Raw genomic sequence first — 22,391 nt, 5'->3', positions numbered from 1 at the left:
CCTCCTCTTTGAAAGGAGGACAAGTAACCCCCTCCATCTGGATCTCACTGATTAGAACTTAGTCACTGGGAAGTGTGAGATTTTAGCTGGACGTTGCTCCCTTTCCCTGTCAAAACCAAGACTTCAAGGAAGAAGCAAAAAGTGAGACAGGATGAAAAGCTAACATTCTCTGCCTGCCACACAATGTAAGCAAATAAATATCAAGATAATTTCTGCTAGAGATAAGTGTTCTGGAGCAAATCAAGCAGAGAAATGAAAAAAAAAAAAGAGTGAATAGAGAGGCTGAGGGAAGAGACTAGGCTGGGGTGGTTGTGATGGACGCTTGTCCTGGGGAAGGGTATTGTAAGTGAGAATGAGTTAGGCATTAGGGCTGGGCGCAGTGGCTCACGCCTGTAATCCCAACACTTTGGGAGGCCAAGGCAGAAGGCTCCCTTAAGGTCAGGAGTTCTAGACCAGCCTGGGCAACAGAGTGAGACTCTGTCTCTACAAAAAATAAATAAATTAGCCAGGCACAGTGGCATAAGTCTACAGTTTCAGCTACTTGGGAGGCTGCAGTGGGAGGATTGCTTGAGCTTAGGAGTTTGAAACCACCTTTGGTAACATAGCGAGACTCTGTCTCTGCCAAAAAAGAAAGAAAAAAGAGTTAGGCATGCCCAGGGGACAGCAAGGGGGCAACTGTGGCTGGAGGAAGGGGGCAAAGAGAGGGGATGGAGAGGATGGGGTCAGTGAAGTCTGAGCTCTTGGAAGCCACTGTGGAGACTGGATTTTACTCTAAGTGAGATGGGGAACCGCCGGAGGGTTTTAAGCAGGAGGATGATATGATCTATGTCACGGTGCTCCGCAGAAAGCCTCTAGATTCCCTTAGGAATGGAGTCATCTCATGAGACTAAACTTCTATGCTCTACCTACACACAGTATTCGTTTGATGAAGCAAAATATCTTACGCCTCTTCGGTGGCGTCCTAGGCCACTCCAGCTCTGGGGCTGGGAGGGAGGGAAGGCTGTAAACCTTATCCTTCAAGGCTTTGATGTATTGTTCGCCTTTGCGCTGGAATAGAAAAGAAGGAATCACGCCAAAGCCTCCCTGGATTCCCAAGTCCACCTGATGTGTATCTTCAGAACTCAACACACATCCAATTTATGCTGTTCTTTTTCTTTTTGGTGCCGTGAATTCAGGCTGAGGAAGGAGGGTAATCCTATATGCTGAGAGCCACGGAAGACTGAACAGGCCTTCTGAGTCAGTGCAAGGTTTGCTTCTGAAATGACTTGGTTAGAAAGGAGTTTTAAAACATCGTAGTTCAATAGAGAGCAGGCCAAATTCTGAAGTCCTCCGACTGAAGTTTTTGCGGTGCTGCTAGCAATGCCGCCACTGAATAAAGCCCACTGGAGCCTCGGAAAAGAAGGATGAGTTGCCAAAGAGACCGCCTTAGGCTTGCAGTATGGCCTGCAAACTTCAGGTTAACTGGGCGGACTTATTAATTAATCATCACAACCACAAGTTTCCCACCTGGGCATCTTTAAGGAGAAAGCAAGAGGAGAGACAGGCCATTATCTATTTATTACTTACTGTCTTGTAGTCTCTGGTCAACGGGCTGGTGGAGTGTCACATTTCGGGGCTTTGAAAGCGTGGGTCTGTCATTCCTTCACTGTCTGGGGGTGATCTCATTCTCCCAGCACCAATGTTTGCTTGTGGGGTGACCTTGGGAAGGGCCCTTAGCAACAGCATTTTCTCATCTGTCAAACTGAGACAGCCACAGGGACCCAAAGTCACGTCTGGTAAATGCTCAAGCATGGGACAGTCTGGGCCACCTCATCTCAAAGCCCCCTGGCTCTGGGAAGAAGGCTTTTTCCAACAGGGAAAATAAGCAAGGCCATGTCCTTGCCACGTGCCTGGTAGAGATGGGGGCAAAGGCAGGGTGGGGTGGAGGACGACAGTAGCTCTTTGTAGAAAAGACACCCTTAGGCCCTCACTGCGGATCCCAGATGCTTTCTCATTTGCCAAAATTCAGAAGGTCATAAGGAATCAAAGGACGACATCTGCTTGTGCAGAATGTCATTATAGAGGAGTCTGGGAACAAGAGGCCTGTTACAAGTCACCTTTCCAGCTCCTGCAAACAGGCCGATTAATGGAGAAGTTCGGCTCCTCACTGAGCATTACAGGAGTGGGGTCAGCTGGGACTGGGCCAGAGCTCGGCGGTGAGTCAGGAGAACACAGCAAGGACTTGATTAGCTGCTGTGACCTCCTGCCCCGTGCCCGGCCTGCCAGGGAGCTGGGCTTCTCAGCAGACTGCTAAGTTAGAATTTACACTTTTTGGAAGAACAGTTCTGCAGCTGAGACCACCTGGGAGTTGGCACAGAATACTTTACGGAGGCTCCATTATGCGTTTTCTGCCGCGCTAGCTGATAGGTTAGCTCGGGCGAGACTGTGAGACTTGGAGAACTTGCTATTCCTAATTTAAACTGTTCTTTCTAGCAGGAGACTGACTCGCAAAGGTCCTAGTGCCCAAAGGCATCCGCCAGTAAGTTCCGGGGCCAGGGTTGGATGCGTAAGTGCCATCAGCAAGTGGCCTGCCTGTGTGGCATGAATGGATGGGTCCCAGGACAGTGTTCCTGTCCCTCCAGGAACACTCTTGCTCTGGCTTTCAACTAATGCCAGGAAGTCTACCATTAATTTATTTTGTTCAAATGTATGGGGAAAGGAGGGAAAGGTATTTTTACAATGCAACTACCTCTAAGGAGGATAATAGTTTAAGCCACCTCTTGGATAGAGCATGCTGCTTCCTTGCTGCTTCCTGGTGTGAAGAAGGGAGAATCCCATGACCTCTGCAGTCCCTGGGTGAGAAGCAGAGGTAAACTTCCTTACAGTCTCACCTAGGGTTGATCACGTGAATAGCCTTCTGCAAGAGAGAGATGTACAGGAGGCCAGCAAATAAAGACTAGAAGCAATTTAACTGGTTCCAAGTTAACGTCCTTTTTCAGTGGGTCTCATGTAAGCGTCTGGGAATTACGGTTGCTAACTTAAAGTGATTTATAAAGTTCTTTCCCAGGAGAAAGGTCTTTTGGGGAGGCAGCGAGTGGGTCTGTGAATTATTTCTCCATGGTGGGTACAGTGTGAGGATGAAGGAACAGGTTCAACTGTAAAGAATCTAGAGATCTTTCCTCAAAGAGAAGGAATTCTCATTTTTCAGCAAGGTAATTTTGGACAGCCATGACTTGCTCTTTTAGACTTCAGATTTGGTAGAGACTCTGTTCTTGGGAGGTTCTTATCTTCTCTCCTACCCCCCTCAGTTTAAAGGCAAGTTTAATAGACTGCTCAACCCATTTGTGTCAAAGTCAGGAGACTAGAATCCAGGTCTTGAGATCCTTAGTTCACTATGGGCCTGCCTGCAAATTTTCCCTTTTCCTCTTAATGTTTTGTTTTGTTTTGAGACAGGGTCTTACTCTGTTGCCCAAGCTGGAGTCCAGTGGCACAATCATGGTGCACTGCAGACTTGACCTCTCAGGCTCAAGTGATCATCCCAACTCAGCCCCCCAAGTAGCTGGGACAACAGGCATGTGCCATCATGCCCAGATAATTGTTTTTTTATTACTTTTTGTAGAGACAGTGTCTCACTATGCTGCCCAGGCTGGTCCCAAACTCCTGGCCTCAAGGGATCCTCCCACCTTGGCTTCCCAAAGTGCTGGGATTACAGGCATAAGCTATAGTGCCCAGCCCTTTTTCTTTTTTCTAATGTTGTAATTGTTAATTGCCAACATTTTCTGAGCATCTACTATGTGCCAGATGGCACTGTAAGTGCTTTACTCATGTAATAATCCCAGTAACCCCATCAGGTTGCTATGATTATTATCCCTACCTTACAGATGCAAACAGTGAGGCACTGAGTGGTTATGTAATTTGCCCAAGGTCACAAAGATTGTGAGTGAGGTAGCCAAGATGTGAACCCAGGCAGTCTGGTTCCAGAGCCCATGCTCCAAATCACTCCCCTATAATATGATGGAAACATGGCCCACTCACAGGTTTACATCCAATGACGTAGAAGGGTTCACAACGAAAAAGCAAGACTGTTCCACTCCATCCATCCAACCCGCAGATTTGTTTCATATGGTAGTTACCTTCTGTATCTCTAACTAATATGCATGTACCCTGATTTCTTTGTTTGCTTTTTAAGACACAGGGTCTCTCTCTGTCACCAGGCTGGAGTGCACAGTGGTGTGATCACAGCTCACTGCAGCCTTGAACTCCTAAGCTCAAGTGATCCTCCCAACTCAGCCTCCTGAGTTGCTAGGACTACAGGTGTTCACCACCATTTCCGGCTTATTTTATTTTTGTAGAGACAGAGTCCCACTGTGTTGCTCAGGCTGGTCTTGAATCCTGGCCTCAAGCAATCCTTCTGTCTTGGCCTCCCAAAGTCCTGGGATTACAGGTGTGAGCCACTGTACCGGCATACCATTTCTTGATCGATTAATTTTAGATATTATCTGTTGGTTTCCTATAATGTTTCATGAGGATTTTGCTCTCACTTGTTCCATGCATATGTCCATGGTGTTTGTGGTAACTAGCCTCCAAACATGGCCTCCAACGGACCACACCTCCAGCACTCACTCCTGCATTCAACCTGGACTGGCCCTTTCTGTGACTTGCTTTCAACAACAGATCACGGCACAGGTGACTCTGGGCCATTTCCTTAAAAAAGCCTGGCAGTTTCTGCTTTTGTATTCTTAGGTGTCTTGAGCCGCCATGTAAGGAGCATGGCTGCCCTGCTGGAGAGCCCACATGGAAAGGCCACTTGGAGAGAAAGAGGCCCTGAGACTACAAGGAGAAAGAGAGGCCCAGAAATCTCAGAGTCACAGCAGAACCAGCTTTTTGGTCCCAGCTGCTCCCTGACTATAGTCACGGGTAAGACCCTCAGTGAACCCAGCAGAAGAACCACCTGTCCAGCTGAGCCCTAGTCAACCCCAGAAGGCCGGAGTCTTAGATGAGGAATAATAAACTGTGGTTGTTTTAACTCACTACATTTCGGGGTGATTTGTTACATTGCAATGCATAACTGAAATAGCGTTTTCCATATTATGAGATCTTTCATTGGATGCCTTTGTAACTGTCGATGACATGCTTTAATTCTGTATATGGTTCCATTAACTTTTTTTATGACAAAATATATATAACAAAAATATGCCATTTGAATCATTTTTAAGTATACGGTTCAGTGGAATTATCACATTTACACTTACAATGTTGTGCAACCATCACCACTATCTATTTCTAAAACTTTGCCATTACACCAAACAGAAATGCTGTACGTGTTAGGCAACAAACTCCCCATTTCCCTTCTCCCAGCCCCTGGTAACCTATCATCTACTTTGTCTCCATGGATCTGCCTATTCTAGATATTCTATGTAAGTTAAATCATACAATATTTGTCCTTTGTGTTTGGCTTATTTCACGTAGCATAATATTTTCAAGGTTCATTCATACTGTGGCCCGTGTTTCAATTTCATTCCTTAGAATGGCTGAATAATATTCCACTGTATGCATATAACACATTTTGTTTATCCATTCCTCTGTTGATGGATATGTGGGTTGTTTCCACCTTTAGAACACTGTGAATAATGCTACAATGAACACTGATGCACAGTATCTGTTTGAGTCCCTGCTTTCAATTCTTTTGTGTATACATCTAGGAGTGGAATTGCTGGGTCACATGGTAATTCTATGTGTAATTTTTTTGAGGACCCATCAAACTGTTTTTGAAAGGTGCTGCACCATTTTGCGCTCCCACCAATAATGGAGGAGCCCCATTTCTCCACATGCTTGCCTTGTTATTTTCTTTTCTTTTTTTTTTTTTAATTGCCATCCCAGTAGGTGTGAAGTAATCTCTCCTTGAGGTTTCGATTTGCATTTCTCTATTGACTAATGATGTTAAGGATCTTTTCATGTATTTATTTGCCATTTATATATCTTCTTTGGAGAAATGTCTAATGAAATCCTTCGCTCATTTTAAAAATTAGATTGTCTTCCTGTTATTGAGTTTTAGGCACTCTTTACATACTCTGGACATTAAACTTTTATCAGATTATATGATTTGCAATATTTTCTTCCATTCTATACGCTATTTTTTTCACCTTGGTAGCATTCTTGATGCATAAGAGTTTGTAATTCTGATGAAGTCCAATTTATCTGTTTTTTCCATTAACTCTTAACCGTGTCTCCCAACTTCCCTTTTTATAAGATGCAGATATGAGTGCTCAGTATAGAATGAAAGACTGAGCCAATTAACAGCACAAATTGGAGCTGAAGGAATATGAGATATCCAGTATCTCTTACACTCTGGAAGGACTGTTTCCCTATCTCTGCCATTCTCAAGTCAGTTGTTGGTTTTCACTAACTGACAACACAATTAACCCAACTTTGAGTTATTCCCTAAACTAAAAGTAATTAGTGTGAACTGTTTTAAAAATATTCTAGAATCTTTAATTAAACTCACTCAGATTGGAAGTTTCCATTCTCTACTTGTGCAAATGCATAAGATCTGGCTAGGTGACTTACTTCTTCCACTAACCCAAAGGCAATTAACTGGTGAGTATCTCAGCACCTACTCAATTCCTGTCCAGAGGAATGACAGTACCTGAGATCCCTGGTGAAAAACTTCTCACGGAATTCGCCCTCAAACCTTCCTGGAAAAATTTTCTCATTCTTCAAAAGAACTTCCTGCCATCTCCTATTGGATTTGTAAGAGATTTATATTGGACTGAAGGATGGTTATCGAGGCCATGTATGCATATCCTGATTGGCAAACCATCCTTTATGTAATCAGTGACAACTCTTTATAACGTGGGTGTTAGCAAACAAGGTAAATGGAAAACTGAATACTGTGTGGAAGGACGCTACTATGAATGAATGAATTTTCCCAGTGTGCAGTGGTAGTTCAAGGGACATGGTCTGATCTGTATAACCGAATTTGTGTAACAAGAAACTTGCCATAATGATGTTTTCCTTTCATAACAACCTTTCCTTGGGCATTTCTGACAGGAGATTCTCATTTTCCCCCTATTGAAAACATTTAATTCACTGCCGTATTTGGAATATCTGTTTATTTGTGGGGCATTCAAAATACGAAATATCTCATAGTTGTTTTTGTCCTTACCATCAAGAAGGAGGTGTGGCTTGGTAGAAAACATTAAAAGAGTGTTTTGAATGATCAGGTCAGTAGAAACATACTGAAGAAAACTGTACTTGCAAAAGCTAGTTAAGCATGCCATTAAGACAATTATATGAACTTAGTTCCAACCAGATAATGACATTTTGCAGAATTGCTTATAATCTGAAAACCTGGAAGCAAAATCCATCACTGAAGGAATGATACTAAATTACAGTATATGGACTTCTCTGAAAGAATAGATTGATATGTTCTAACATGGAAAGATTTCTAAACATAAGGCATATTATTGAGTAAAAACGCAATGTGGGTATTGATTTGTATGGCATAATAACCACTTATGTAAAACAAATAAGGAAAACATATGTTTGTCGTTGGATACATGTATGTCTGTAAATGCATAGAAGAATATTTGGAAGGGCAAGAAGGTCTATGTTTGGAAGCAGTGGTCAAAAGACTTTACCCTTATCTATAAAGTTTTAATTTTTACAAAGTGAATGTATTGTGCATTACTTGTACAGTTAAAAATTGATAAAGATGCTAAAAATGGTGGTGACTAGAACTAAATACCTTAGCTGCAGACATGAATCAGCTGTTAAAGATTACAACTGCCTTCAATTCTCATTTCCTTTCTAATAAAATTCTGGGAACTTAGCAAGAAGTAAATTCTTGGCTTGGTCAATACAGTACTTTGAAGTCAACTAGGTGAAACAATTTCTTTGCATCTTGTTTTTGTAAATTTCTTTGTCTTTTTAGAGATAGGGTCTCACTCGGTTTCCCAGGCTGGAGTGCAGTGGCGTGATCATAGCTCACTGTGAACTCCAGGGCTCAAGCAATCCTCCTGCCTCAGCCTCCTGAGTAGCTAGGACTACAGGAGCATGCCACCACATCCAGCTAATTTTTAAATTTTTTGTAGAGATGGGGTCTTGCTATGTTTTCCAGGCTGGTCTCGAACTTGTTGGTTCAGTGATCTTTCCTCTCTGGCCTCCCAAAATGCCGGGATTACAGGTGTGAGCCACTGTGCTTGGCCTCCTTTGCATCTTGAGGGAGAATTTACAACATTCCTTGCCATTGTAGTAAAGGTAGGGCTGTCTGAGGATTGGAGTAGAAAAAGGGAGTTCTTTTGATTGTCTATCTCACCTTCCCCAAACTTCTGCCATCCCAGTAAAACTGAAGCCTTGCGACGGGAAGAGTAAAGGACCATTTACTATACTTATTTTAAACATCTAAGCTTTAGAAGACTTTTTCCTATCTACATCCCTGTTAAGAAAAGTGTCAAAGCAACAAAGATGCAAAGTGGAAACAGATGTTTTTCTAGAAACCAAAAACGCTTTCAGGAATGGTTTTAGGTGTTCACGCTTGTTTTCTAAGTAACTGTACCAACCAACTTTTCTTGTCCACTATTCTAGCCCCTGGCATGTTCCTTGCACCCTGCTGGGCACACATGCTCAAACAGGGCCTGGTCATGGCAGCCTAAGTTCCTGGCAAGCCTTGAAGACAGGGGAAGGCCTTGGGCTCTCAGTTTTAACTCAGCTACAGAGCACCCAGCACAAGAGGCCCAAGCAAGTCCAAGAGAAAGCAATGGCATCTCATTCTCTGGCTGAGTTTGCTTTTTCCTTATGGGGGCCGGCAGCCCACTGAACTCCTTTGGGACGTGGAGGGTCTTGGGAATACAAGCTCTCCCCGTTCAGTTCACGACCCCTCCCCTAAGTGTTTGCTTTTAGGCACCTCAGTTGCTAAAGGCATTTAACTTTAATTCCATTTGACTTCAATTGTGTCCAAATTACTGTAAGAAAGAAGACAACAAGCTCTAAATTGAAGAGAGACAGAAAATCATTGAGAATCCTGCCTTTATGAATATTTGATGAAGAAAGGTTAGATCCATAGCTGGTAAATTATAAGAAATTATGTCCATCATGTGACTCTGTCAGCAAAGGTTAATACAAATGGGTTGGGACTTAGTTGGGAAGACAATGCAGATTTAAAAAGATTTGTCCTGTCCTCACTGCAATTAGTTTTTCTCCTATTATTGGTGTAATAGAGTTGATCATTAGGATTATGGCAACAGAACAACTGCTCGGTGAAATCATTTTGTTTTTCAGACTATCATTGCATTTTCACCATAAATTCCTCATCTCTGCTAATCTTGTCCTTAATTGTGTGGTTGCTGTGGGCAGGATCCAATTATTAACTCTTTTGATCCTGCAGTGCCCTTGCCAGCAAGTATGCTGATTATATGCAGATGGAATGGGCAATCTTGTGTTTTTCTGTGGCTGGATACATGGGTCTTGTGGTTCATTTAGCACGAGCAGAAAAATGGTTATTTTTGTTCCAATAACAGCTTCAGTCAGGTGTGAAATTTTATATAATTGTGTTATAGGATTTTGCCCAGGTTAAGGGGTTTCGTGGGGCTTCCATTATGAACCTGATTTCTCAGGTATTTATGATTTGTTTTCCACTTTAAAAAAAATCTGAATTAGGCTCAATGTGCTCTGCCTGGAGGCCTTATTGTTGTTGTTATTTTGCAAAGGGGATTAAAGTAGTCCTCCTGCGTTCTTGGTACTGGGGAATATAACTGAAGTCAAGCATAGTAAGCTGGGATGTAGAAGAAATGGCACTGTGGACCCCAAAAGCTGAAGGCATCATTTGTCCAAGTGGCCTTTGGATGTGCAAGGGTACCTCTAGACCCTTTCAACAAGGCTGAAGGGCTTGGAGACTGAAGCCAGAGAGAGGGTGCGGTGAATAACCAACAACTACAGCGAGACGAGTCGGAGGGTATGTAGGTTTCTTGCTATTCCAGACCAAGCTCTAAACAAACAATCTGCAAACAAACTTCAATGCTTATTTGTCATCACTATGTTTATATATCATCTCTATGCTCCTTACTTACAGAAAATTCCACTGCCTTGGCCTAAGGTCACCTTTTCTTTTGATATCTACACATTATGAATTATATATCCTTCATGAAGTTGCTATATACTTTAAAAATGAGGGACATGGCTGATGGAATGTTTAAAGATGGTAAAAGACAAGGAGAAAGGCAAATATGATTTTGGCCATGGAGGGCATGTGAAGGAGGGAAAGATCTAGATAATGGAATGTACTCATAATAAACTAAAAAATAAAAATCTAAAAACGTACAGGTAAACCATGCTAATAAATCAAGAGACCCTACAGGCCCAATGCAGAAGACAAAGTGTTTTTCCAAAATCTAAAGGAAGGCTGGAAAAAATGGATAACTATAGAAAATTTGTCTTGGGAAGGGTTAAATGTCACAGCCAAAAGAATAATTGGAATTGTCATGCCTGTAGCAATCTCGCTGTAGAAGCAGTGTCTTAGCAAGGTCCACTGAGAGTTCTTTCCTACAGAAGTATACACTCTGCCCATACTTATAGTCCTCCAAAAGTAGGAAATTTAACACATCAGGGAGCCTGCTGGATTATCAGATCAACTAATCAATAGCGTTGACAATATTTCCACCTAAAAGCATTAGGGAGCAGTAAGTAAGGCACCAAAGCAGACAGGATCTTTGCCAATACATTACCTTGGACCTTTGACTTCTGCCAAGGGCCCAAGAGGCACATGACTTTTCTTCCCAAGGCCTGGGATTTTCTGCCTAAGTGATTTTGACCTGCTTGAGTTGAGTCAATTGCATCCTTCATCAGGAATGGGTACAGAGGACATATGCAAATGGCACAGACCCAGTCTCCCAGGCATCTGAAGCAGCATGGCAGGTCATGCCATTACCCCCTCTCAGCAGCCCTCCCCGCCCGGCCTCTGTAAATCTCAGCTGTGTGTGTGCAGCATCACAGGACTCAGTGGGATACAAATGGCTTCTCCCTGTATCTAGATTGCTCCTGAGACTTGAGCCACCTGAAGAGTTCTGTCCCCTCTGTGTGACCTACACCTGGTGGCTCTGAAAAGACATTTTGGCCACTCTCAACTCACTGAATTTAATGCTTCAGGAAGCAACAAGATTTCATCACTGAAGATGAAGCTAACGCAGAGAGACAAAGAAAATACACTGTTTAAGTCCCCATGTCTGTAAAAGGTCATGTGGGGCAATACAGAACCTAACTCATCCAATCCACACCAAAACATGCTCTGTGGAATCTGACTGTCTCCCCCAAACTGCTCCTTCTGGTATAGCAATCTGTACGTAGGCCAGCCCCCAAATATCAGGATGAACTCCATCTCTAGAAACACATTTGTCCTTGGAAAAGACTAGAACAGGACTGTCAAAGGAAGGGGAGTAACATTTGTCAAGTACCTGCTACTTTGTTTTATCTCATTTAATTCTCTTTACATAATCATTTAAAGTTTACTAATGAGGAAACTGAAGCTCAGAAGGGTTAAATAACACGTTCAAGGACAGAGAGCCAGTACAGGTTGAATATCCCTTCTCTGAAATGCTTGGGACAAGAAGAGTTTCAGACTTCAGACTTTTTCAGATTTGGGAATATTTGCATTATACTCACTGGCTGAGCATCACTAATTCAAAATCCAAAATCTGAAATGCTCCAATGGGCATTTCCTTTCAGCATCATGCTGGTGCTCAAAAAGTTTTGGATTTTGGAGCATTTCGGATTTCAGATTTTGGATTAGGGATGCTTAACCTGTACATGGAAAGGCTGGGATTCAAATCCAGGCCTGCCAGGCTCCAAAAGCACTACCCCAAACTCTTGGTACCACCCAATGTTGCCTTGCTTCCACCAGAGGAACAAAAGATAGCTTAGTAAAGGCAAACAGACAAAATGCCAGCCCCCGCAAACTTTCCAAAATCCCAGAGAGTAAAATGGCTGGGCAGTGGTGCACTTTGGAAGGATGCTGGTGTTGGTGTTGGTCTGTTCTCAAATAGGCTCCATAATGGCGGTAGGGAGGGCGGTGTCGTGTGTAAAAATGGGACTCGAGGCAAAGTGCAGAACTTCTTCGGAAATGGATCCACCGTAGCTCACATCAGTCACTGGGCTCTCTAACCATGACAAAGCCAAGGTTTTCTAAAACTGGCATATTATTGTAGTCTGCCTGGCTGTGCTGTAACTATTTCAAGGACTATTAAATGAAACCCTGGAGACAGTTTCCCTTAAGATAAAGAGCATGCTTTTTATTGTGTCATCAAAGGAGACCAGAAAACCTGAAGCTTTCGGCTTTAAAGACAACATAATGAGATCAGAGATTTTGCTTGCAAAGAAATTAACTTTCGGTTAATTAATGAAAGTAACCTTAAACAGCGGGCGTGTTGCCAACAACCAGGACACTATAATAAAATGGGGGGAGGTGAGGAGATAATGGGCTGCTTTCAAGGGGCCAGGGCTCAGCAGCCCAGAAAAGAAATTCGATGAGGATGCTGCTTGTAAATTTGATCTCAAATTCTTAAGATGAACAAATAATAGTCTTATCTGTAATAAAGTCTGCTACAAATGCTTTCTTTTCCCCCCATAATTTTCTGTTCAATTTAGATAGAAGATTTAATTAGATGTTGGTGAAACACCAGTTATTTAATAAAACCCTTAATAAAAATCTAATCTATGGTACATAGAAACCACTGTAACATAATCACAATGAAAAAAATACATTTTAGAGTATTTACTTTTTACAATTAAGAAAATATATATCTGTGACATGTCCTGTTTTCTACTCAAGAGGAGAGCTTGGAAAAACCCAAAGGTAATTCTTAAAAAGCTCCTAAATTGTAACCCTTTTCTCTTCTCAGGAAGTTTGTTTTTAAAGGGTTTCTTCTGAAGCAGCATGGCGGGTCAGTTGCAACCAAAAGGAGTCCTTGAACCTGGATGAACTGAATGAAGAATGATCCCTCCTATCTCAAAGTTTTTAAATTAAAGTTTGCTTACCATGAAAACTGACTTTAAGGATTCTTAAAATTGTATGAGAAGCAATATGAGGCCCTACATCTGTTTAACCTTACTGCAATTCTACCATCTAGGCTATCAGCAAACCCTGAGGTGGAAGAAGGACTCTCCTGTAGGTCTATGAGAGTACATAAGTTATAAAAGTCATGGAGCATGCGTGGCCCATAACACATATGAAAACAATGTTAAGGACAATTTGAGTAACTCCCTAATCTTCTAATACCTTAACCAAAGGCAGATTTCTGGACTGGACACCCCAAGCCCCAGGCTGCACTTGACATGCATTTCTTAGAGGTCATGTTTTCTACATATTATAAAACTTTGGTATTGGTGGGAATGTTGGTTTCCACAGGAAGTTGCTCCTAAGTTCTCAGCTTCTGGAGCAAGAATCAAGTGGAATTGGGATCCAAACTGTTTGAAACATCTGGTGGTCTGCTTTCTACAGGTTTATTGGAGGGAACTGGAAAGTTTGGAGAGAGTGACACCACCCTCATTTCAACAGTTTAAATAGAATTTCACAAAAGCCATGTCCCTTTACTTGACATCATATAGTCCTCATAACATCTTCATGAATATTTAAGTAGGAGAATCTGACTGGAGTAATTTTTCAGATAAACAGGGTGTGGGGCAGAGTTTAACTAAGGGAGAAGAATTATTGCCCCCTGTCTGACGGGGCGGTAGATGCTGAGGAAAATCAGGCTGTATCTCTGCTCTGTCCCCAATGACCTGGCACCAGAACTAAAATGCCTGTTGAACGAACTCACTTACGTCCTTGGCCAGAGCCACGTGACATCTCTGTTCCGTTATGATTTGAGAAGGTCATTGTTTAATGCATCTGGATATTATGATCATCCAGATTTAATCATCAGAATGGGGTTCTAGTGGCTTCCACTGTATATAAATTTAAATAATGGCCCATCCTCTCCTGAAGGAAGGAAAGTCCATAGACTCTGCCCATCTGTTCGGTGAGGCTGTTCATTTTGAATTTCTGATTAGGTGCCTCCTACTATTCCTACACATGCCCTATCTCCAAACAATGCCATAGTGTTTGGGGGCGTTTAGTAATTTATATATAGTGCTTGTTATTTTGGCTTCAAATCTGATTCCTCTTTGGCTATTGACACAAGGGTTTAGGGTGGACTGAACATGGCCAGTGTCTATTTAGATACACTGTGCATAAGTGGAAGACAGTGGGAGACTCTGGGGCCACACAGCCACTCAAGAATGTGTCCTGATTGGGTGTCAGGCTGGATTTCATATCTGTGAGTGTAATGCCAATACCTGCATGGCTAGTTTAGCTAATCACATAAGTCCAAGAAAAACTGGGGACCTGCCACAGGGTTGCTGGAAAATGAAATTAGGACACAGTGAGAAACTATCTGAAATAATATCTAATCGCCTTCTTTGGAAAGGGGGTAGGGCTGTAACCATAAGCCCCTGTTCTCGTATCACTTTCCAACGTGCTCTGACTCTGTCAGTTACCTCTTCTCTCTCCCCTCTACAAGTTGGCTTCTTTGTACCCTTGCCATACCTGGGGACAAGAGACACATTCTTTTGTTGAAAAAAAATATTGATGCGATTCCAGGTCTGAAAAGCAAAAGGGGGAAAAAAAATCCCAACTCCTTTTTAGGCATAAAGCACAGAGGCAGCCTCTGAAGCTTTCTTAAATATTAACATTATAATTAGGGGACACGGGGTTTTGCTTCGCTTGTGGGTTTCACACTACATCCTGCCTTAACAGGATCTTTTGGAGCTTGTGACGCCTCCAAGCACGAGCTGTTCTTCCAGAGGGATGTTGACTTTTGTGGTCTATTAAGCAAGCAATGCATAAGTCAAAGTATACTCTTCCAGGAGCAGAATACTGACGCAAATGCTTCAGGCCAAACTGCACATGAGTCAGTCCCTTTTCCCATGAGTTTTGTTAAAGAGAATTCTTCATAACAGGACAACAGTAACGACAAACTCTAGTGTTGAAACAATTACTGATCAGGTAACAAAAACCACCTAACAAGCCCATTCATCTTTGCTGAGGAAGCTGCCAAGACTCTTGGGTGATGGGTCCTTCAGCCTGAAATTCAAGGCCACCCTGCCTGTGGTTCCTCAGTTTAGCTAACAGAGTCCCCTCACCATCGGCAATTTAGGCTCAGTTCAAGAGAGGCTTTGATTGAAGTCCTGACTGTACAACTGAACGTGGGAAAATTATAAAACTTTGCTAAGTTTCTTTATCTGTAAATGCAGACACAAGTATCCATTTCATAGAGCTACTGTAAGGACTCAACGAGATCGTGAATGCAAAATGTATAGCACAATGCCTGGCACTCAGTGACTAGCCCAATGACAACTATTATTATTAGTAGAATATTTTCTGAGGAGCTTGGTGTCTGCAAGCTGTGACTGTTGTGATAGCCATTCTGTTACTGTCTGTAATATTCAGGAATGCTTCTACTTTTCTTTGCTTTTTTTAGAGACAGGGTCTTGCTTTGTTAACCAGGCTGGTCTTGAATGCCTGGCCTCAAGCAATCCTCCTGTTTCAGCCTCCCAAAGTGCTGGGATTACAGACGTGAGCCACCATGCCTGGCCTACTCTTCTTATGATTATTAAACCTAATAGCCTAAAGCATGAAAACTATCTTATGACTGGTATGGAGAGCGACCAACAGATTCAACTGGAACAGGTTAAGGCTCTGGCTCAGAGGAGACAAAATGGTGGCTCAGGGGCTACATTAAATCTACAGGTATTTATTTTGGCCTAAATAGTAATGACTCTTGCAATATTTAAAAAATGTGAATTAGTTCCTAAAAAGAAGAGAAAAATAAATAGAGATCTTAATAAAAAGTCCAGATTTTTGACTCTGCTTGAAAAATGGGAAGATCTGCTTATCTGGGCCAATACTCTGCCATGACGGTAACTGGCCAGAGCCGAGTCGCGACTGCCTCCTTAGATAGGACATACACGTTCCAGTTTGAAACTCGTCCAGGCTCTCTCTGTGCGGCCTGCTTCGTTCCTATTTATCACCAGGTCCTATTCGGTCTATTGGGCTATAATAGAGCCTGCCCATTTAGTGTGGCCCCTCACCCCGTGGGTTGCCTCTCTATTGCACTTCCTGCAGTTTTAGTTCAGGGCCTTGGAGCTGCTTTACCATAGTCTCATGCGTTTCCCAATCCCGCAGCAATTACTTGGGTAGCATCTATGTGTTTTTCTTCTAGTGGCTGCCATCAACAGTAAGTCTGTTCGTCGTTTGTTTCTATTCCCTAACTCTAGTAAAATTTACTTATGTATTTTCTTCTGTGGCTTCAGCCCTGGCTTCACTTTGAGGCCAGTTCAGACCCAGAAAACGTAGGACGATGCCAGTTCATAAAGCTCAGAATCAAGCTTCATTCTTGGTTTGGCCATCCTGTGCTTGTATTACCTTATTACCACTGATTATGTCAGCAGGCACTGAACTCACTAGATCTTCATAAATACTACCCCATCTCTAAGGGCGTACCTAGCATATCTGACAGTTGAAGCAGATTATTTTTTACCTATCTGTCTTTTATAACAAATTATTCCCAATAACTGTCACATAATAGTCAGTAATAATGTTTTCTAAAATTTATTATTTAGTTTTAACAATCAAATTAATTGTTAAAAAACAATTTTCTTAACTATTGAAAAATAAATTTCAACTTAAAAACATTATTGAAATTCAGCTAAATATTTTATGTAGAGAAGAACATGTTCATTTACCAAATGAAAATATTACACTGAGTAGTTTATAAACTGTTTCTCTGTTTTAGATTTTTTTAAATTTTTAAATTTTATTTTTTGTATTTTTAGTAGAGACAGGGTTTTGCCATGTTGCTGAGGCTGGTCTCAAACTTCTGGCCTCAAGTGACCCACCAGGCGTGAACCACCATACCTGGCCTTTCTGTTTTAGAGTTTAAACAAAAAGAAAAACTTCAAGTGCTCACATGGTAGGAAAGAGCTGAAATACCCCAAATGTTGTTTCTTCATCTTAATCACTATTGATTTTGAATCTACTGTTCAGATGCAGAAAGATGTGGCACTACAGTCACTGGAGACACAAACTCTATCTGAAGTGCACTCAAAACAATCCAAATGGTAATGAATTGACTCCAGAAACGAGCATGTGTAGCTGACTGTGTGTGTGTCAGCAGCTGACTGTGTAACTGAGAACTCTGCATCCATGAAGAACACAGTATTTAGTAAGGGATATGTTACTAAAATGTGCTAATTTGAAGTGTGTGTGTGCAAATATATATTTATAATTTATGTATATTATAAATATTATATTTATTATTTTACTAATATATATTTAGAATATTATATATAATTATATACTATTTTACTAAATAATATATATATTTACACACACACACTTCAAATTAGCACATTTTAGTAACATATCCTTTACTAAGTTTATAAGTTTACATATACATATATGTGTATTTGTATATAAGTTTACATATACATATATGTGTATTTGTATATGTAAACTTTAGATGTAACTTTGAACACTGTTTAGAATTTAGACCAACGGAAGATTTTGTTAGGAAGGATTTTTACATTGATCACAACTGATGGTGAAAGGGGATAATAAAAAGCAGACTGACTCTTAGTTTTATTATTGTTTGGAAGTTTTTCGACAGACAGTGCACCCCCTTGTCACCAGCATGGATGGGGGTGGGGCCGGGGAGCTAAAATGGACTGCCCCCACTGCCCCATCCTTGGTATGTCACTCTCTTAAGGGCCCACCTCTTAACCAGATTTCTACTTTTTATGGTTAAGTCACTCTGGTCCGGGTTCCTGACCCCTTCTGAGTCTCTGATCTTCTCTTCCCAAATCCACTAATCTGGATTCTTGATCCGACTGCCTGCCATTCTGGCCTCCAGGCCTTGCCTACCTCTTCCTTCTGACTCAGCTCCCCACCCTGACCTGCCCCCCTGCCATCTGATTGTTTCAGCTCACCATTCTTTCCTCTCTGCATTTGATGATTTCTCTGAACATGAACACTTGCCTGCCTGACTGAGGGGACTCAGGAAGCTTCCTTTCCTGTCTGGCTGAACTTTGGGCACAAACTTCACATTGTCCTACCGCTGCCCGTGTCTTAAGGTGGCAATCATATGAGAAACATCATTTTGATGTTAGTAGCTTGGTGGGGGAGGCGGCTTCAGGATGACTACTGGGCCTTTACTGTGACTCACAGGTGATGTCAGAGAAAAGCTGCTCCAGGGGCACGGATGTGTTACAAACGACAGCCAAGCCTCACCAATACCAGCTAAAAAATATAACCATGCAGGTACTGGGCTTGGTCTGGGGCTTAATTCTTCACTTGACTCCACACAGCGTTTACTGGGCCCCCAAAGGCCGCTTTGGCATCTGTGATGTCCATTTCCTAGGACAGTATATTGCCTGACAGAATTTATGGTCTTTGGTTCTGAGCTGTCAATAAAATCACATGGCCACGTGAGGGCTTTCTCCACTACAATCTAATAAAGAATGCTTATCTTATTCAGGCACAACATCAGCTTTTCATATCCCACTAAATCTGCAAATCAATCCATGATTTTTAAGATTTCTTTGAGGGCAGTCTTAGCCTGGAGTTCCTTTATATATAATGATGATTATGATATAATAATGACGCTCCTTACCTCAGTCAGTTAATCACATATGTCAAATAATCACATAGGCCGATTAACTGAAGTTGTTTTCCTCAGCTTTTGCTTAAAATTTTGACCCATAATATAAAAAATAAGAGCTTTCAAAAAGAGTGGTGGTTATGCCTCATCGTTTGGGAAAAGCAAGCCAGAGGTTCAATATTTAATTCAAAATCCTAAGCATCCATTATTAACACAGATGCCTTTACTCATCTGCAGTAAGGACTAATTACCCTGGCCTTTCATGCCTTTTCAAATGAAATGATACAGGGATGCATTTAAGGTGTGGCTTTGATAGACTAAGATTATGATTATATCCTGTTTATTTAAGTCCCTAAAATCTAACAAAATATCAGCATCCAATCACGTATGCTGCTTACACCCACATAATTTATATGTACATAATATATACATATATGGCATATATGTATACACATATATATGCATATACATACAAACACATATGTGTATATAAAACGCAAAAGACACTGACTGTCACAGACAGTTTCAACGGGGGTATAGATCAGTGTGTTTAAAGAACAGCATTCAAATGATTTCCTGCTATTCTTTTCCCTGTATACTTGCTTTGTGGAACTCAAATGTTGCCCATTTCTGCATAGCTATTATATGTTTCTAGGGTGCTGCTCTGAAAAAGTGACTCCTTTATTCTCATGAAGAGGAGAAAGGCAGGTTAATCATCTATTGACTCCTCAGTCCTACTGCTGGCATAAAGCTCTGGCTTTGCTTAATTTCCTCTTTTTAGTTACCTAACAAACACACATCACCAGGAGGTGCAGGTAAAGATCGAAAGATTAAGTTGTGTCACTCAAATGATAACTAAAAAGAGTATTTTAAACACACTATAAATATACACAAGCCATCATAAAATCATCAAAACCCTGCCAGAGCTCACCACCTCTAGAGTATACAGATTATCAGGAAGAGGGATATTGATGTTAAGTCCTGCTTGTCTTGGAGGATTGTCATTAACCGTCCCAAGCCTGCACTCGGCTAGCCACCTGAGCTAGGGGAAGATGGGGAATCCGGCCTCGCATATTCTAGTGACAGATTCATGGGATTTGGGACAAGCATTTTAATATGCATTTAATTGTGATCCTTTCTACTCAACTCTAAGATTCCTTAAAATATATTATTCTAAGAACTATAAATAAAAACAAGCATCAAGACTCTGTTGCCCTGCTTAAAGAAATAATTTCACATACAGTAAAGATTTAGTAAAACAGATTAATTTCATCGAAAAATTTCATTTATAGCATGTCACAAAAAGACACATGAGTCCATGTATATTAGAAGCATGCGGTGACATCACCTTTCATAAAAAGAAAAGCTTGTCATCACAATCTTATTAGGATGTCATGCATTGTTAAACTAGTAAAATATTTCTGTATACTCCAATTAGTGCAACCATTTACTGGCACAGACATTACAGAGAAAACTATCATCTTTTAGAAAAGTCCTTTCCACCGGGAACTAATCCTTTGTTTGACAATTCAGAGAACGTTATTTAGAGATTTTAATTGCTCAGTTGATCTGTGGCTGGATCTCAATAATCAAAACAATAAAATTGTTGGTTTTCTTTTTTCTTGACAACTGTAATAAAATGCTGGTAGCGTCCTGGGATAGTTAACGAGAGCTGGATTGACACTGTCAGATTCTTTTTCATATATCTTTTTTATCAGAGGCGAACAAACCATTTTTAAAAGTAAAAAGTACGTTAATAATATTGCCATTACCAACAGATATTCCAAGTATAACTTCATGTCTACATGAAAAATCCAATCTAATGATCTCTAACAATCTAATCTGATCTTCTATGAAAAAGGGCCACAATTCTTAATTAAAAAGAAAAAAATATTTGAATCAATTAGAAAAAGCCAAGCATTCCCCCAAAATGGGCAAACGACATGAACAAGTATTTCACAAACGAAGAAATAGAAATAGCCTTTAAATATAAGAAAATACTGCTACCTCATTCATTATCAAAAGAATGCAAATTAAATCAAAAAGATACTGTGCTGGTTTTCTAAACTATCAAACTAAAACAGTTTACACACACACACACACACACACACACACACACACACACTCTCTCTCTCTCTCTCTCTCTCCCTCTTTCCAGTTCTGGTTAAAGCTACAGAAAAACAGGTATGCTCACTGGCTACTTGGGGAGCCTATATAACTTGTTGCACTTTTTGGAAGAACATTTTGCAGTATGTGGTAGAGCCTTAAAAATGTGTGAATCCTTGGCTCGGTAATTCAATTTCTAGGAATCTATCCTTAGGTGATAAAGATTCACACAAAATTTTTAGACAAGGATATTCATCCCAGCATTTTATATGATAGGGAAAAAAATAGGAAACAACCTAAATGTCTAATGATAGGAGAAAAGTTAAATAAATTATGGCATATCCATACAAGGGAATTCTAGTTTCCCTTAATAATCATGTTCCCAAGGAATATTTAAAGATAAGAAAACCTGCTTATGATATAGTAAGTGAAAAGAGGCAAAAGTTATAAAATATTATGATCCTAATATTGCTTTAAAAAGTATATATACAAGTATATATGCATTAAAAACAGACTGGGAGGCAACAGGCTCAAATATTCCTAGTGGTACCCAAGGTGGTAGGCTTACAGGAGACTTTTCCTTTCTGTTTTATACTTCTCTGAATTTTCAAAACATGTCTTTAATGAAGACAGATTACATGCTAATTTAAAACATGTTAATTAAAAAAGCAAACCCAGAAATATTTAGCCTCAAAATTATTTCCTAAAAGTTTCTGAATCACTTGGCTTAGGAAAAGTAACCTTAGATATAAGTAAATTTCTGCTTTTTTTTTTGGAGAAGAGTTTGGGGATATCTTCATAACGTCAAATTTCACAGAAGTATTGAAATAAGCATTAAAAAAAACAGTTTTCGAGGGTAGAACTAGCAGGCAGGATGATCAGCAAGTCCTGATAAAACAGTTTATTGTACAATGTTAACTCACAGGACAGACTATAAGACACCCAAAACATAACATTTAGTGCCAAGGGAAATCAAGCCCTTGGGTTTGGTGCAAACAATTGGTTGTTAACAACTGCTGATAGAAGAAACACAAATCGGCCCTGAATTTGCACTCAATTTTGATTTTAATATTCTATAGATGGGAGTCTATAAATGAGTATTCTATAAATTTTTATTCTTTAAATCTATAGAATGAAAATTCTGTACATGAGTATTCTATAAATACTCATATTAGAAAGAAGAGTTCCTGGGCTGGGTGCAATGCACATGCTTGTAATCCCAACACTTTGGGAGGCTGAGGTGGGAGGAGAGCTTGAGGCTAGGAGTTTGAGAACAACACATTGAGACAGTCTCTACCTCCCTCCTCAAAAAAAAAAAGGGGAGAGAGAGAGAGAGAAGAGAGAGAGCTCCTCCCAGTAACCACTAGCTTTCCTAATCCCAAAATACACATGGGGGAGGTGGGACTTTCTGCCTTCCTTTCTCGGGGACTATTTTAAAAAAGCCACTGACTTTAACTCAGGGCCACACACGTTCCTGAAAACCCACGCCAAGCCTGATCCTGAAGATGAAGACCATTATAAACTTGCTGAGGAGAGATGTTTCAAAGTCTTAGAATTTTTCACTCCAAAAGTAAAACTTAATTAATTTGCCTACTAAAGAGTCAGAGAAGAGAGACATCA

General features: G+C 40.8%; 1 protein-coding gene across 13 annotated transcripts in view; it reads right to left on the bottom strand.

Moving 5' to 3' along the window:
- FTO (FTO alpha-ketoglutarate dependent dioxygenase) overlaps nucleotides 1-22,391 on the bottom strand; it is a 417,979-nt gene that overhangs the window by 26,234 nt on the left and 369,354 nt on the right. The gene's annotated exons all lie outside the window — the stretch shown is intronic.

Source organism: Homo sapiens, chromosome 16 (assembly GCF_000001405.40).
Source record: "Homo sapiens chromosome 16, GRCh38.p14 Primary Assembly".
Classification (NCBI taxonomy): domain Eukaryota; kingdom Metazoa; phylum Chordata; class Mammalia; order Primates; family Hominidae; genus Homo; species Homo sapiens.
The sequence above is the reverse complement of the archived record's forward strand: the minus strand, read 5'-3'. Positions and strand labels throughout refer to the sequence as shown.